A 19908-nucleotide genomic window follows, 5' to 3' on the forward strand; every position below is an offset into this window, starting at 1 on the left:
TTTTAAAAAAAGTCCTGGGTCTCTTTATAAGTAGCTCGAAACTACTTGAAAGACCACTGTGGACTGGGATTTCTACCTGAGAGACCTTTCCACTTGTTACTTAGATTTTTCTCATCTTACAGCTTTCCAGGCTCACAGCACCCGGTGATTCAGGATCCATCCTCAGAAATCACAGGATGTGCTGTGCTCTTCATGTCATCTACTTGCTGACTGGCCGGAGAGCAATCTTGTAATAGCAATAATCTTTAGACCCATATTAATCTCTCACCCTCAAAAAATCCCATTAAGTTAAGTACTAATGAGGGAAAGTTCCTCATACAAGGCAAGGTACTTTCTCGATAATAAAACATAAGACTTTTCTGTCTAAAAGTCATTGCTATTGTCTTAAATTATAGTTTTATCTATTCTTTAAAGATTTAAAGTCCGGGTGTGGTGGCTCACGACTGTAATCCCAGCACTTTGGGAGGCTGAGGCGGGCGGATCACCTAAGGTCAGGTGTTCGAGACCATCCTGACCAACATGGAGAAATTCCGTCTCTACTAAAAATACAAAATTAGCTGGGCATGGTGGCCCATGCCTGTAATACCAGCTACTCGGGAGGCTGAGGCAGGAGAATCGCTTGAACCCCGGAGGCAGAGGTTGCGGTGAGCCAAGATCGAGCCATTGCACTCCAGCCTGGGCAACAAGAGTGAAACTCTGTCTCAAAAAAAAAAAAAAGATTTAAAAAGAATAATAAAAGAGAAGGGAAAACTATTTTGGGGAAGATCTACACACACACACACACACACACACACACACACACTTGTGTATTTTTGGTGGTTTTATAGAAAAACAAGTGGTAGAACATAGGAATTCAAAACCCAGTTGTGTGGTGGAGTGTTGACAAAGCTACATACTTAACCAGACTTGTTGCCCTGACAATTACCTTATATGACTCATCTCTTCTTCCCTTTTATAATTCCTCCCACTACTCTCCCCATCTCAGGCTTATGTAAATTCCATATCTGCCTTTTGCAAACTCATAACTCCCAGGTGCGGAGATCCCATAATCCCAGACAATGAAATATATCACTAGAGTGTTTGTTTCCCTAGAGCAACAGGGGGAAGACATTGGACCAGTTTTTGGCCTTCGGGGCAGGATTGCTGAAACTCTTTATAGAATAGTGATTCTATAAACAACAGAATCAGTATTATTTATAGAGCCTAATTTTTTAATACTGTTTGTGAGGTGTTACATTTTATTCATTCATTTCTGTATAAATAAAAATGTATACAATAATGCTTTAGATCGAATATATCATCAGGGAGTTTGCATTCTGGTAAGCAGATAACAGCGTGATATAAATTGCACATGGCTGATTGTAATACATAATAGTAAAACTAGAAATAATATACTATATCCAGTTCAGGAAATTTATAATAAAATTATGTGAGTTGGCTTTTAAAATTAAACTCTATTGATACCATTTTCATTGAAAAAAAGTGTGGTCCCATTTTAAACAATAAACTAAAAAATTAACTTTTTAAAAATAAATACTTTATACGTTAGAAATTGCAAAGTCTTGAAAAAATGTTCTGCCCAACTATTATTCTTTTCAATACCATCAAGTAAATTAGTTAAGAACTATATAAATATATTTTCATTATCTTTTTAATTATCTAAACTTTTGTTTTTAAATTAGTTCAAAGAAAGCTATGTAGATATACTGAATTAAAAAAAAATGAGAGCAATGAAAACTCTTATGGTCACCCATGTGTCCACATAAGAACAAAAGAGTAAAAACAAAGGGAACATTTTAAATGATGATTTCCTATACCAAGAGTGGTTTTTAAAAATTAAATAAATGAAAGTCTCAACTGTTGAAAGTCACTTAAAATGAAGAGGGAATTAAAATAAGCCAAAATTTTTACTTGTACTGTTTCCTTTTCATGTTATCTCTGCCTTTATTATTAAATTACCCATGTTTTTCAGTCATTTCAACTATTCCAATCATTATGCGTATCATTAATACATATGGTATAGTTTAAAAATTCACTAAATTTTCACGAATATTAAAATATCATGCAAATAAGAGTATCTGATTTACCTGAAATTATTTCTATTTTAAAAGAAAAGTTATATTGGATATTCATAAATGAATATATGTGTATTTACATGAATGCATATAAACATACCATTGTGTGTAAACTCATACTCCATTATACTTTACAATGCTTTACAATAACTTTTCTTACTTGTTCCTCACAGTAGCATATTGACCTTTCTCCATGTGTAAAATAATAATAACCTAAACACTAAAAGCAAAGAGAAGTGAAAGGCTTTCCTAGGTAACAATTATCTGACTCTGAACAGTTTTGCTATTCAGCGGAACAATCTTATTTAAATAAGGCATTTAATGAGTTATTTTACAACACTATAAACAACTTATCTACTCTTATATAATTTTTTGTTTTGTTGTTATTCATCTGAATGGTTAATCAGTCTGAATAACTTCTATAATGTTTTCACTATAAAAGTGTAAACCCCTTCTGTTGCTGACTCAAGTTATCATGACAGCACTTCATAAATGTACTGTTAAATATTTTAGGAGAAAGTACAAATTATTATTGCATTAAAATACGGTATTAGATGCATTTTTGTTGACATTTATTTAATAATGTTAAGTAAATTATATATTATATATATATATATTTAGTCATTCACCACATGATGACATTTTGGTTAAAGGTGAATAGCCTACATGATAGTGGTCCTATAAAATTATAATAGAGCTGAATAGTTCCTATCACCTAGCAAAGTCATAGACGTTGTAGCATCACAGTGTAATGCTTTACTCACATGTGTGTGGTGATGCTGTCGTAAATACACCCACAGTGATGCTAGTCCTATAAAAGTGTAGCACATATAATTATGCACACTACCTAATACTTGATGATGATAAGTGGCCCTGTTACTGGTTTATGTATTTACTATATCTTTTATCATTGTTTTAGAATATGCTCCTTCTACTTTAAAGGAAGTTAACTGTAAAACAACTTCAGGCATGTCCTTCAGGAGGTGTTTCAAAGAAAAAGGATTGTCATCATAGGAGATGACATCTCCATGCATGCTATTGCCTATGAAGAACTTCCAGTGGGACAAGAAAGATGCAGAGGTGGAAGACAATGATGATGATTCTTTGTGTAGGCCTAGGGCAGTGTGTATGTTTCTGTCTTAGTTTTTAACAAAAAAGTTTAAAAAGTAAGAAAATAATAGACAAAATTTTATAAAATAAGGATACAAAATATTTTTGTACAGCTGTAAAATGTGTTTCTTTTAAGCTAAGTATTAATATAAAAGCTATAAACTTAAAAAAACAATGAAAAGTTAATAAAATCTTTAGAGAGATGTCTATTCAAGTCATTTGCTCATTTTTTAATTGGGTTTCTTCTCTCTTTGTTGTTGAATTCTAAGAGTTCTTTATATATTCTGTAGTCTAGACCCTTATGAGGTATAAGATTTACAAATATTTCACATTCAGTAAGATATCTTTTTTCCTCATCACAGTATCTTTTAATGCACAACAGTATTTAACTTGAAGTCAATCTGTTTTTTGTTGTTGTTTGTTTCATTGCTTGTATATTTGGTCATGTCTAAGAACCCATTACTAAGTCCTAGCTCAGGGCGATTTAGTTTCTATTTTTTAATAATAATGTTTAGCTGTAGCCCTTATATTTAGGTATTCAACCCATTTTAAGTTAATTTTTGTATATGATGGAGGTAGGGGTACATTCTTATTCATGTAGACACCTAATTGTACCATTTCTGTTTGTTGAAAAGACTATTTATTCTTCATTGAATTGTCTTGGCATCCTTGTTGAAAATCGATTGATAATAAATGTATGTTTTTTTCTAGACTCTTATTTTTATTCCATCAACAACATGTCTCTCTTTATGCCAATTTCACAATGTTTTTATTACTGTAATTTTATTGTAAGTTTTAAAACTGGGAAGTGTGCTTGTCCAACCTAGTTCTTTTTCATGATTGCTTTGTCTATTTTGGGGCCCTTTCAATTCCATATGAATTTTATGTCCAGCTTTCCATTTCTATTTCTGTAAAAAGTAAAATAAAATAGGATAATTTAAATTTCGATAGAGATTGATTTGCATCTTTAAATCAACTTGGGGATTATTTCATTCTAAACCATATTACATTTTTAATTTCTTTCAGTAATTTGTTTTTACATTTTTATGAAGGCTTGCACCTCTTTGGATAACATTTTCCTAAGTATGATATGCATATTTAATATATTGTTAATGAAATTATCTAAATTTTATTTTCAGATTGTTTATTGCTGATAACTAGAAATACAACCGATTCTTGAGTAATGAAATTTATCCTGCAAGCATGTTGAAAATGTTTAATAGTTTTTTTTATTCTTAGGATTTTCTATATATAAAGTTATTTCAAATGGGAATAGAGATTATTTTACTTCTTCCTCTCCAATCTCAAGTATTATTATTATTAATATTTTGCCTATTTGTTCTTACTCGAACTCCCAAGGCAATGTTGAATAGAAGTGGTGAAAAGAGGCATTGTTTTCTTGTATCTGAAATTAAGTGGCAATTTTTCAGTCGTTCACTATGGAATATGATAGTAATAGGTTTCTCAAAAATGTCATTTATCATGTTTAGATATATACTTCTATTTCTAGTTTGTTGAATGTATGTATCATGAAAGTGTGTTGGATTTTGTCAAATGCTTCTTTTACGTCAATTAAGATACACATGTGTGAAAGAAAAGTGATGTCAGCAAGATAATGGAAGGAAGCCCTGGACCCTTCTTTCCTCAACAGACACACCAATTCAACAGTGATACGTGGAACAATTCCCTTTATAAGAAATCCATAAACTTGTTGGGAGACTTCTGCATCTGGGCTAGCATGGAACCAGTTACCTTGAAGCTGGTAGGAATACTTCAGATACCCTCACATCTTACCGCTAGCATGATGCCATATAATTAGAAGGAAACTCCTAGTTTCGCCCTATGAAGGAAAAGAAAAGTACTGCACCAAATATCCAATATCCTAATTATCCTGAGGGTTGCCTGAAAAAATGACTTCTACCTCACTTCTGTCAAATTGCTGACAAAACCTGAAGGTCACTGAGAAAAATAACTATGGCTTGAACTATCAAGCTAGCACATTCCATAGCCACACTTGAGGCTCAGCTCAAAGTAAGAAGGTGGGAATACCTCAGCTCCCAGCTTCTCCCTAGGGAGAGAAGGAAAGCCCATACACTCAATGTTCTGATTTTTCTGAAGACTACCTGAGGCACTGGTTTCTGTCTTTCCTGTCTCAGAGCACTGATATGACTTGCTATGCTTTAGTCACCTGGAGGCTACTGAGAGCAAAGATTTACATTTCAATAAGCAAGCTAGAACATGCCTTAGTCCCACTCTCTGGCTTAGTGAAAAGTAGGTGGGGAAAACAAAAACAAAAACAAAACAGATGCCAGCATCTTCCAACAGTGGGAAAGAAAGACTAAACCTACATGCAATGCTAAAATATTACTGTGTGTTGCCCCAGGTACCTGGCTTCTGGTAGGTTTCTCTCAGAGAGCTGAAGGGATCTGGCACAGTCTAGATGCCTGAGTACCACTTAGGAAAAAGATGGGTGTTTGAAAGTGCGTAAATTTTTGAGATGTCCCCAGAATCACTACCTGGCCAGTTGGTGAGAGACTTCCTTTGTATGGGACCAGTTGCTGAAGACTAGAAGTGGCTGTTTTTATAATGCATAGATCCTAAACAAAAATTGTTAAGGAAAATTAAGAAACAGGAAAATATGTTCCAAATAAAGGAATAAGATACAACCTCAGTCCCAGAAATCAACTCTAATAAAATGAAGATATGAGAATTCAAAAAAACCATCATAAAATTGCTCAGTGAAGTCAGGAGAACAATGCAACATCAAAGAAATAATTGAAGCAATAAAATAATATCAATCATCTATAAAAATTACCAAACAGAAGTCATGGAACTCATGAAGACAATGACTAAAGAGAAGAATCTAATCATGTGGTTCAACTGGAGAATAGATTAAGAAGAAGAAAGAATCAGGAAATTTAAAAAAAATAATAATTAAAGAATACCCAGAAAGAGAAATGAAAAGCAAAAAAGACAGTGAAAAAGAGTAAAGAAAGCTTAAAGAACTTATAGAAAACCATGGGGAGGACCGTTATCTACATTGTGAGAGTTCGCAAAGGGAAAGAAAGAGAGAAATGAGAAAAAAGCTTATTTGAAGAAGCAATGACCAGAAATTCCTCAACTCTGAGGAAAGAAATAGACATTCAGATCCAGGAAGGCCAATGAATCTCAGAAAAGATTAACCAAAAGTAATATACCAAGATACATTATAATCAAAATGTCAAAAGTTAAAAGACAGAGACCTTTGAAAGCAGAAAGTGTAAAGCAACTTGTAATATATAAAGGTATTTCTGTGAGCCTATAACTTACCAGCAGAAACCTTGCACACTAGAAAGGAGTGTGATGATATAGTCAAAGTGTCAAAGGCACAAAAACTCTGTTAATAAAGAATAGTATACCTGGTAAGGTTGTTCTTCAGTAATAAAGGGGAGACAAAGACTTTCAGAGACAATACATGAAAAGTTCATCACCACTAGATATGCCTTAGGAAAAAAAATTGCTACAGGGAATTCTTTAAGTTGAAATAAAAGGATACTAAACAGCAATAAAAAGCATATAAAAGTATAGCAGTCAAAGGTAAAGGTAAATATATAGAAAATACAGAATATTTTAATACTATAATGGTGGTGGGTAAATCGCTTTTAGTTATAGCATATAATCTAATATATAAAAGTATTAAAATAACTATAAAATACACTAATGAATACTTAATATGAAAAGATGTAAATTATGATATTAATAATATAAAATGGGGGGAGAAGTAAAATTGTGGAGGTTTTGTCTGTGACTGAAGTGAAGTTGTTATCAACAAAATAGGCTGTTATAACTTTAAGTTGTTTTATGTTAGCCCCATGGTGATCATAAAATAACACCTATATAATATACATGAAAGAAAAAAAAGAAAGCATATAAATCCAAAAAATTAATGAAACACAAGAAAGGCAGCAAAAGCAGGAAAGAAAGAGAAGAGAATTACCAGAAATATAGAAAATAATTAATAAAGTAAAAATAAATCCTTGACTATCAATAATTATTTTAAAAATAAATAGATCAAACTCTCCAATCAAAGCAACTGGAGTAGCTGAATTAATTAGAAAAAAGACAATAGCTAAGTTTATGATATATAAGAGACTCACTTTAGTTTTAAATACTCACATAGGCTGAAAATGAAGGATGAAAAAAGATATACCACGCAAATGGTAAATAAAAGATACTGGGAGTATTTATGATATCAGGCTAAATATGTAAAAATTCTAATAAGAGACAAAATAATATATAATAATAAAAAGGTCAATTTAACAAGAACGTATGGCAATTATAAACATATATGCATCTAACATCACAGCAAACAAGTATATGTAGCAAACATTGGCAGAACTTATGGGAGAAATAGTAATACAATAATTGTAGCAGACTTTAATATTCCACTTTCAGTAATGAATAAGACATCCAGAAGTAAAATCAATAAGCAACAGATGTGAATAACACTATAGACCAAAAAGACCTAGCAGACATATACAGAGCACTTCACTCAGCAGAAGCAAAACACACATTCTTCTCAAGCACAACTAGGATAGATTGCATGTTGGGTTACAAAGCAAGTATAAAATTTAAGAAGACTGAAGTTACGCCACCTATCTTTTCTGACCACAATGGAAAAAACCAAGAAATAAACAACAGAAGCAAAATGGGAAATTTCACAAATATGTGGAAATTAAACAACAGAATCTTGAACAGCCAGTAATCAAAGAAAAAATAAAAATTGAAATTGAAAAATGTACTGAGATAAATAAGGCAAAAACATCATACAAAAGCTTTTTCTTTTTCTTATGGTTTTTTTGTAAAATTAAAACCATGGCTGAATTACAAGTGAGACTGAAAAGTTGATTATTAAGGATAATATATGTTTTGTTTTTACTGTGTCTCTTCTTCAAAGACAAATACAATATTCTTCCTGTGACAGGCAACTTTGGCTCAGAGTCACAACCAGTGTTGTGGAAGAATATTGTATTTGTCTTTGAAGAAAAGACACAGTAAAAACAAAACACATATTACCCTTAATAATCAACTTTTCAGTCTCACTTGTAATTCAGCCATGGTTTTAACTTTACAAAAAACCATAAGGCTAGGTCAGAGTGAAGAAAAGGAAAAGCTTATGAGTAGCCTGCTGATTAACCGAGAACAATTCTCCATCTGCCTGTTTCTTGAAGAAACGTGATGGCATGCTGCTCTGGCACACATCATAACTATTCTTAGTGTCAAGATTTATTCAATAATCATCTAGACAGTATCGATAGCATTGCTATGATGACATGCTCAAGTAAACTCTCAAAAATAATAATTAATGGAAATGATTGTAGTAATGGGATTTTGCAATGGACAGGGAAGGAACAAATATGATTTAATAAATTGAATCTATTAACATCTTGTAACAAGAATGTGTTAACTGTTTACTTGTTATTAATGTATTGAGTAAACAGGATAGTTCCTAAAATATTTCTAGGCCCTACTTTGACTTTCTCCTTTAAGGTACTACCTTTAATAGAGAAAAAAAGATATTCATCTATAGAGCCAGAAGAAGGTGTAATACCTTTATTTTAATAAAGTGTAACTTGGTAGTATAGATAAGCATATATTAACAAAGTAAAACATTAAAAACTAAATTAAATTTTATCAAAATACGTTTAGTTTAATTTACATATTTAAATGTATAATTTCACCTAACAAAATACAGAATAATACATATGTTATTTTTTATGTAAAATTATAAAATAAGTATATGTTAAATAGACATCAATAATTAACATACCCATATAATCTTTAAATATGAATGTACGTTTACTTATATATAAATATATGTAATTCTACAATATCATAATGTTAAATATTAGTTATATAAAAGTATATCAAAATGCATTTTGTAATACATGATTTAATATAACATATATAATTAATATGCATTTTATTATGAACATAGACATATTTATTTTGACAGATACGTTTTCATATTTTTTAGTAACGATTGGAATTAGATTAATCAAAGAATGTTTAAATGGTTGCCATTAAGCTTGCTGAGACAGCCTCTTTGCTCTCTCTTTGGCCCAAGGGCCATATACTTCCATTCACGTGGTCTTCAAGTGAGCATTGGATATTTACACTTATATTTACTGGGTAAAGTGATCATGGAAAAACACTTTTTAGTGCTTTATATGAATAAGCTAAGTTTGTATTTAAATGAATAACGGATTTCGCTAATTTTTTTTATGGCAGGTTTGTCCAGTAAACCACTGTCTTCATTGAATATGCTGTATGATATTTTGTGGCATTAAATAACTTTTTTCCATCTCCAAACATTTTACCTCAGAAGATTACTTTTACTGTCTCTGGTTGCAAAAACAATTTGGTTCATATGTTACTATATCAGTCCTTGACATCTTAGCTTCATGCCATTCTTAAATTTAGTCAACAGGTAATTGATATTTTTTACCCAATAATTGATAAAAAATGTATTTTAGGAGGAGTACAGGTATATAGACCCTTTAAATTGGCAATCTAAATAATTCAGAAAAAGTAATGGCATTTTGAGTGATTATGATGCGTCAAATCTCATACTGAGTTCTCCAGGTAACATTTGCAAATTCTTACAACGACGCCTCTGGTTAATATTATTAGAATCCTCTTTCGTAAATGATAAAACTAAGGCACAGGAAGGTAAAGTGCTTGGCCTGAGATAAAATATTTAGATGGTGGCAGAGTAAGGATTCAACTATTAGCAACTGGGTTCCAAAGTTGGTATTTTAATTTTATGCTATGTTGACATGACCATCAATAATATTCCTAATTACAGTATTACTTATAGCACATGTTTACCCTCTTTTTTGAAATCAAATTATGAGAAACTTATTAGATCATGTGCTGAAATGTAGAAAAGAATCTACATTGTCACATCTGCCTCTTAGACAGTTGTTTACATAAGACATAAACTGGAAATATGCTCTCTAATAACTTTTGGAAAAAGTAGACATGGATAAATAAATAAGTCAATGAATCCAAAGCATGGAGACTCAATGCATGACTTTGAAATCAGATTACTTGGTTTGGTTTAGAAGTTAATCTGGCATGTCTTATTCTTCCAGGACTTATGAAGGCTTCTTTTCCTCTGTTCCTATTCTTAAATCATGCTTTCATAGTCTCGGCTACAAATAGTCACTGACATTAATATCTATCATTTAAATCTGTAATTTCCTCCATTTTTTAAAACCAGGATAGCTATCCATTGCTAGTTTTCAAGCAGCTTGTCTGCTCTCTATAATTTTTTAAACATCATGAAGAACAGTTCAATAATTTTAACTTAGGCTTTCTCAGTAGTCTGGGAAATAACTCATTCTGGCCAGGAGACAAATTCATTTAGAGCAGTTACCTGGTTTCATACTATCTCCTCATTTATATCCGGCTTCAATTCCCTCTTTCAATAGCTAGGTCTGAATTTCATCCTGGTGCTCATTCCTTTTGACAGAAAAGATGGAGGCAAAATAGTTGAGTAATTCTACTTTCCATTATCTGCTAACGTGACAACATGAGGGCTGAACAGCAGACCTGATCTTTCCATTATCTTCCTTTATTTTGTTTCTGTGTTACAAATATCAATTCTTTTAGTTTTTTATAATGTCAGTATTTCATTTAATACAGTTTAATAAGTGCTAGGCACCTAATGTTATATGACAGAAAGTCTTCATACCTGATTGAATACATCAGGTATATACATCAGAGAGCATATCTTGAGTAAACATTCTTCAAGTTGAAAAGTTCAATTAAAAGGAAATGCATATTTGAGGACATGTACAGGAGGAAGTGACTGAGTTTACTAGGGAAATCGGGAAGGCTTCAAAGAGGAAGTGACTTTTGAATTGGGACTGGAAAATAGTTTTTCCATGCTTTCCCTATTTTATGTATATTTTGACTTTTTAGAGTCAAAACATATATATATATACACACATTTTTTTGCCTAATTGTTTCCACCTTGGCTATAACTTGTAATAATAATCCCTGTTTATATAATTCTTTTTACCTTATTAGAATCCTTGCTGTCTTCATATGTTTCAGGGCTTCTTGACTTTTTCTCCGTTTCTGTTTAGATCCATGGTTCCTAAGATTAAGGATTCATTCTTAACAACATCCTCAGTGCTCTTGTTCTTTTTTCCATTTGTTAAAGCTATGAACAAAACCTACACCGGAGGAGTGCAAAATGCATACCTCTTATTATGCTGTGAAGAAAATCTCCCTGTTGGGTAGATTGGTGACAATAAATTTATGCACACCACTGTTTCAGTTTGTTAGGGGTGCCTTAACAAAGCACTACAAACTGAGTGGCTTAAACAACAGAAATTCCTCGACTTAAGTTTTATAGCACAGAACTACGAAATTAAGATGTCAACAGGGTTGGTTCCTTCTGCGGACTGTGAGGGAAAAATCTCCAGACCTCTCTCCTTGGCTTTGGCTTGAAGAGGCCTGTCTTCTCCCATTGTGTCTTCATGTCATCTTCCTTTCATGCATATATTTCTCTTTGTCAAAATTTATCTCTTTATGAGAACACCAAGTATATTAGATTAGGGCCCACACTAATGACATTATTTTAACTTGAATATCTGTATAAAGACCCTGTCTCCAACTAAAGTCACATTCTGAGGTACTGGTGGTAAGAGCTACAACATCTTTTGTGGGGGAACATAATTCAACCCATATCAGCAACCTGAATAATTTGCCTGGTAACTGTGTTTATCTGTATTCCAATAATTTCCCACTGCATCAAAAATATTTCAAATATTTCTACTCATTTCAAAATGTAGGGCCCAGCTTCAGAGTCACTATGTCATTTTAGCAGATTCTCTGTATTCATGCCTCAAAGAAAACAGTATTTAAAAACAGTGCTAATCAGGAGGAAAGATCAAATAGACATACATATATGTATCTATCATTAGTCTCTTTCTCCTATAATTTTTATATTAACAATAAAGGATGTGTTTCTTCTGCTACCTAAGAATAACCTATCTAGCTGGGCTCTAAATATAGATTTTTTCACATTTCACAGATTCTGTGTTCTTGATTATAAATCTTTATTTTCAATTTTCATTTTCTACTGCCTTTTCCCCAATAGCAGGTAAACATGCTCTAGTCTCTTTCTTGTTAAAACAAATACTCAACTAGATGTCTTTGGTTGCTTTTATTATTTCACTATCTCTCAGTTGTTACCCAGACAATTTCAACCTGAATTCCATATACATGACTGTCATAACTCCCTAAAATTTTCAGTGACCACTGTGTTTCAGAATCCTGTTCTCAATCTTTCAACAGTGTTCAGTGTATCTTATCACTGCATCATTATTATACTTTTACCTTTTGTCTCTGATCAGACATAGCTGTGGCTTTATTCAAACTTTCTGTTCACTTTATTCTTTAAATTCTTATTTTCTAACTAACCATAAATATTGAAACATTTTTCAGTATTTTTCCTTTGGTCTTTTTTGGCTTATTTAAACTCTCCTACTGATAGTGGTGGTGGGTGATGCATCCTGCACACTCCATGGCTTCAATTGCCTTCAATATGTCAACTGTACTCTGGGCTTTGAACCTTATTAATCCCTCTTCTTGGATATACATTGGAGTATTATCCATGTATTTCATGAGTATCTGAAATTTCACGTGTGCAGAATATTACTTAGCTAATCTGCAAAGCATAAACTTCTTCCCCTATTTCTCATCATGGTAAATGACACCACCATTTACCCCATTGCTCAAGTAGAATTTATTTAAGACTGTATTGGACATAAAATTAGTTGCCTGTCCTTATATCCCTTTAGCATTGCAGGGGAATACACTCCATATGGAGAGGATTTTGACCATTGTGAAACAAGAATGGGGGAAAATTAGGCAAATTCCCTTTCCCCTCACTCTTGTGAAAAAAGTCTTAAGCAGTTTCTTTTTGGAACCCCTTTGGAGAAGTTTTATTAGATCAGTGAATATATCTACAGGGCAAATTCCTGTGTCTCTTGAGAGATCATCTTGAAAGGTAATTAATAGTGTGGCCACTGCAAAGTGGGTATTTCCTAACCTCATTCCCTTTTTTATTGTCCTGCAAATGTACTTCTGAAATAAAGCATCAACAATTTAGTCCTCCTCAGACTGTTTTCAGAAGAACCTGGGATAAGGTATCTTCCTATGCCTTCCTATCAAATTTTGTTCTTTGGCCTCTAAGTAACTGAATCCATCTGCTTCTCTCTTTTTCTACCGATATTACTCTAGTTGAAAACATCACCTTTGCTTGTGAAGGATATTACAATGGATTTCTCACATCTTTCCATGCTTTTAACATTCTCTCTGCAACTATTTCCCAGAATCCAATTAGAATGACCTTAGTAAACTTGAAATTTGATATTGCCACTCCCATCCTAAAACTTGTCAAAGGCTTCCCATTGCAATTAAAATAAAGGGTAAACATCTTTAGAACTGCCTACATCAAGGCTTGCAAAATCTTGTCTCTGCCGTCCTTGCTTTTCTCTTTTTGTACCATTCGATTTTTTCTTACAACTACATTCCATCCATATTGGTCTCTCATAGCTTCCTCCAAGATGGCATATTCTTTTTCTCTTTTTTCTTTCTGGAACACCTCTCTCCCCTTCTCTCCCTCATCATATCACTTCTAACTCTTCCTCTATTGTTTAGATATAACTTTCACAGGGTTACCTTCAATAATATTCCTGTTAAAATTTTCAGTGATGGAAAAAAAAAAGAATTTCCAGTGATAAAGGATTGTTGAATCTCAAGATTTCTTAAGCTCACAGAAGAGTTCTCTTAGTATCTATATCAACCTCTCCTTATTGGCCTTTATAAGTTTGAGTTTAATACTCTCTTGACTATCTATATAGCATTAGAAAAGTATCTTATTGCAGCAATGTCCCAAATTCCTTTCTCTGATTTTCACAAGCTCTAAAATGGCATAGTCACATTCTCAATTGTTCTCACTTCAACCTAATCAAGAGATTTTCTCTTGCTATTAATAGTCAACAGAAGTATTTTGGTTTAGTGCTCTTTCTGCCTTCTGAGAAATTAAATGACTTCTTGCTGAATATTTTAGAATCAGAAAAAAGGTTCATAATCTTCTTTCATCAATTAGAATATTGCATCTATAAAATCAATTTTATGGTGATTTTAAAAACACCTTTACATGTCAATGTGATGGCATCAAGAGACACTGAAACATTTATTAGGATGCCATAAACTTTATAGTTCTTAAAAAGTCAGATAAAGAAAGTGCATATAAAAAAGTTAATATGTTATGAAGCTGACGAAGGAGTACAGCAGCAAGCGAGTGAAAGATTTAAAACAGCTTTGGTTTGGAACTGAAATCCCTAGGTGGCCTAATTCGAGCAGAACATTGCCACAAGGCACAGGACCCCGGCATTGTCAGAACCTACTCAAGTCATCTGCCATTTTGTCAGATGGAGGAGCTTCCCCACCTCGTAGATGAAGCTCATCACAGCCTTGACAACACTGGGTTCCACATCATTAGTTTCCATTTGATTCTATAGCAACAAAATAAGAGAAAATTAATTATAGTAGATGCTGGAAACCAAATAGTGGAATTAAAATCCCAGCATTCTCATTTAATGGCCAGGAAACAAATTACACTATTACAGCAGAACAGCTTTTTTCACCTCCTGTGCTGGTTTCTGTATTTGGTACAAATGTGAAGCTTATACTCTGAAATAAACAACTTTATTAAAAATGAATCGTGGAACATTACTGTGGAGAACTCAGTCAGTGATTCTCTCCAGTATGTGAAGGAAGAAACCACTTATACATTTGTGGGAAAATACTACTTACCTCCCTCTGTTTGCTTAGTAAATGGAGGAACCTTTTTACTTCAAAATCATCTCTTCCATGGACTCAAGCTGGTGAGACAGACTGGCAAACATTGGCATCATCAAATGATTATGCCTTCCATTCCAATTTCACTCTAAGGCTGATTAAAACAGGGAAGTATAAACAGATCCCATTTTAAGTGGAGCTGATCCAAATTGCTGGCTCAGACTAAGGTCAAAATCAGAAATGGCTTGAAAGGGAAAGGCTGTAGGTAAATAACATGACTAAAGAATCTCTTTCAGCACAGACAAATCCTGATTCTTCCAACATAACAATGAAGCTGCAAAAGAATAACTCTTTCAAGAAAGAACTTTATATGAATGCCTGGTTTCATTTCCTACCCATCATTATCTAATAGCATTCTACGTTAAGAAACTGCATTATAAACTTTCTTATCAATTTGAAAACCGGGTGCGCTAAATGGTAAATAATATGCTCCAAATACTTTCAAGCTTGCCATATTTTTGTTCTAGTTTTTTTTTTTTTTTTTTGAGACGGAGTCTCGCTCTGTCGCCCAGGCCGGACTGCGGACTGCAGTGGCGCAATCTCGGCTCACTGCAAGCTCCGCTTCCCGGGTTCACGCCATTCTCCTGCCTCAGCCTCCCGAGTAGCTGGGACTACAGGCACCCGCCACCGCGCCCGGCTAATTTTTTGTATTTTTAGTAGAGACGGGGTTTCACCTTGTTAGCCAGGATGGTCTCGATCTCCTGACCTCATGATCCACCCGCCTCGGCCTCCCAAAGTGCTGGGATTACAGGCGTGAGCCACCGCGCCCGGCCTGTTCTAGTTTTATCTTCAGTAGAAAGTATATCGTTTTCCAAATGCTTAGTCTTGAGTTCTCTCTCTGGAGAGTGGCTATATATTCCAGCTCTGCCCTGCCAGGGCTCCAGGAGAGATGTTCATGGATGTTTACAGTGTGCCTCTCACAGGATACTTCCTTATCCAGGTTGATGTTCTAGTGCCTGCGTGTCTGACCTGTAATCAGGTGTCCCTCTCACAGAAACTTATTTATACTGGCAGATACCCTTGTGGCTCTCGTCTGACCCGTGTCTAGTTTATTCTACTCAGATAACTACTCTCTGGGAGAGCCCTGATTGGGAAGACAGTTAGATTTAAGCATGTCAATCAAATAAGACACAGAGGAAGAAGCACACCGAAACACATGAAATTAGAGAAGCATCTTTTCTATAATACTTGCTTTTTAAAAATTGTATTGTTAATTGACAATTTATAATTGTGTATGTTTATGGGGTACAAAATGATATGATATCTGAGAACAGTGTGAAATAATTCAATCAACCTCAAATATTTGTCATTTTTATGACCTCAAATATTTATTTTTTGTTTTGAGAACATTTGAAATTTACTTTCTTAGTAATATCGAAATGTACAATACACTATTATTAACTGTATTTACCCCCTGTGCAATAGATCTCAATGAAAACTAACTTATTCCTCCTGTTTAACTGAGATTTTTGTACCCTTTGTCTATCATCTCCACATTCCTCCCAAATACCCTGCCTCTGTATCCATCATTTTACTCTCTGAAGAAGTATTTTTTATTACAGTTCCCAGAAGGAGGGCCATGGGGAAGGGGGCAGCCATTCAGAACATGCATGCTCAACCAGAAGGTGAGGAGCAAGAATGGGGAGAAGGAAGGAGGGACCTGAGGCCCAGTGTCTTTGATGGGGTCCTGCGTGTTAACCAAGCAGGTTTCCCTGCATGGAGTTCTATTTGATAAGTTAATAGCAAGCAGGTACAAGTTCCATAGAATCATGATGTCACCAAGAAATGGTCACTATAGCATATTTGTGAGGATGTGGGGCTCGGTGGGGGACTCAAGTAGCTTGTACCAAGCTTCCTGTAGGGAAATGGTCACCAGGAGGTGGTTGTATAAGGCAGACATCTGGATCTACCATCTTGAGGAACTGAGAGGAGATGGAGAGCCAAAAACTGTGTCAAGGATGACTAAGCCCTATTTCCTGCATAAGAAAGTTCAACTTACATTCAAAATGAATGCTGAGGCAAAATAAAATTATAAGACTTCACTACAGGTTTATAGACAGGCAAATAGATAGGAAGGTGTGGCTTTCAGATACTACAATGGAAAGCACCACATAAAAGCCTGAAAAAATATATTCAGTTTCCAAATAGCCTCTTTTGCCATTACCTATCATTTTTGCATTTCTCTTTTTCTTTCTTTCTTTTCTGCTACATCATTTACTTCCCAGATGTGTATCTATCTATTTGTATACAGATTATATAGCTTTATTTTATTGGGATAAATGTATCTACTGCTTTGTGACTTCCTGAAGTTATTTCTGTTGAAGATCAACTATCCAGTGTTTCCTTCTCTTTTTTTTTAACCTCCATCCATGTAATAAAAACCTGTGTAATTTTTTTTGCTGTTGTTGTAAAGACAAGGAGAAGCATAAGAATTACTTCTTGCCTTTCTTATTATTATTGTATCAATATTTACTTCATGAATGACTCTCAGACACGTTTAACTGCACCCAAGACACAGGTGACCTTACTTAATTCACACAAATAGATATTTAAAGCCAACTATTTTCAGGTTAGCTACATAAGTGTTAAGATTATAATGATTATAATCACTATGGTATAGAGTAAAAGACTCAAAAACATTTAAATTGGAGAAATTATGATCAGGTTACCTTGTTACGATAGCATATGGTTTGAGGGAAATGGGTTTGGTGCTGTGTAAAAATTGATGTGTAATGTTCAAAATAGGCATTGTATTCAGAATAGTATATCCATTTAACAAACTGATCTTCACAATAACCTTGCAAAGTATGTGTAGTCATTCTCATATTCAAGACAGATAAGTTAGTAATTTGTCAATTATCAGTTATTAGTCGTTCTTACATTACTGCATCTTTACTAGACAACAATATTGTTGGCAAATTGTTTTATAGGAGAACTTTCTCAGTCTTTCCAAACTAATCATTATTTGTGACTCATGTTTCCACCAAGACATACACAAATGTTAGTAAGCTATAACTGAGGTATGATATTGTAGAGCTATAAATTCAGGTTTGGTCCAATGCCCTTTGATGTTTTACACTGACCCTCTTACTTCCAAGCAGGGATGCAATTTAGGCAGAATAAACACAGATAACCTTACCGGGGAAGACTTAAATATCAGTTATTCCTCTTGGGAACTACACAGATTGTGATTAGATTAATGGTAACCCTAATGAAACCCAGATGATTCAAATGAACTCTGACTATAAGACTCTATAAAAACAGCCAGCCACCACTGAGTGTGATTTGAGGGTAAGTAAGAATGCACTCTTCCCTTCATCCAAACTAAGCTCCAGAAAATCCAGGCTGGTGTTCCTGCCTGACGGAGAACAACACATATTTGCACAGATGGGAATAGAGCCAGGGCAAATATATTCTTAGCAAAACCCTTTAGATCACTTAGAAATGTAGCTCACCTGACCCAGTATCTAAGACATTCTTTCCATGAGGTATTAAATCATTTTGAAAGTCTATCATTAGAAATTTAGCCTTTGATTTTAAATAATGTATACTATTCTACTTCTAAAATAGAAAGAATACTATAAGTAATATCATGACATACCCTTCAATGTGAATGGTAAATACTCCATATGGTCAGTATTTCCCTTTATTGGGAAGAAGGGAGTAGGATCCAGAAGAAAGAGATTGCAGTAGAAAGGCAGTCTTAGGGGGAGTACCAAAGAATGTGTGATTTCACTCATACGAGGAAGCATAGAAAAAGAAAAAGAAATTGGAAAGGGAGGGTGTTATAAATGATTTTTCACTACTTAATCTTATCAAGTATTAGTCTAATCAGATCATCAAAACTTGCTGATGTTTTCAAAAGAACAAAAATAAAATGTTTTCTTATATAAAAATACACTTTACATTAAATTTTAATGGTGGTTTGATAATATTGCTTTTTCCTATTTATAGATTAAGAAACTGAGAAATGTTTTTTCAAGTTCTTTCTTTTTAAAATCGGGTTATTTGTTTCTGTGCTATTGAGTTGGGTGGGTTCCTTTTATTTTTGGAAATTAACCTTTTATCAGATATATGGTGTGCAAATATGTTCTCTCATTTCATAGCTTTTCTTTTCATAATGTTTATTGTTTCCTTTGCCATGCAGAGGCTTTTTAGAATGATGTGGGCCCACTATCTGTCTAGTTTTGCTTTTGTTGCCTGTGCTTTGAATGGATATTTTTCCAAAGAAGACATACAAATGACCAACAGGTATATCAATAGGTGTTCAATATCATTAATTATCAGGGAAATACAAATAAAAATTACAATGAGATATCACTTCACACTTGTTAGGATGACTATTATTGAAAAAGAAGGTGTTGGTTAGGATATGGAGAAATTAGAACCTTGATTGCTGTTGGTGGTAATATAAAATAGTGGAGAAGCAATGGAAAAGAGTATAGAGATTCTAAAAAAATATTTAAAAGGTAGAACTACCATATAATATAGCAATCCCGCCTCTGGATATATATCCAAAAGAATTCAAATCAGAATTTCAAAGAGATATCAGCACTTCTATGTTTATTGTAGCATTATTCACCACATAGCTAAAATATGGAAACAACCCACGTGTCCATTATGAGAGTTCTACTGAAAACTCTCCAATAGCTTTCCATTTCACTCAGAGTAAAAGCCAAGGTCTTTGCCCTATTAGTTGATAATCTGATTGCCTTTTATTTCTATCCTCCTTTCCTACTTCTCCCCTCCACTCTTACCCTACTCCAATTGCTTCACCCCACCTGCATGAACCTTTTTG

The sequence above is a fragment of the Homo sapiens genome, chromosome 7, assembly GCF_000001405.40.
Source record: "Homo sapiens chromosome 7, GRCh38.p14 Primary Assembly".
Classification (NCBI taxonomy): Eukaryota; Metazoa; Chordata; class Mammalia; order Primates; family Hominidae; genus Homo; species Homo sapiens.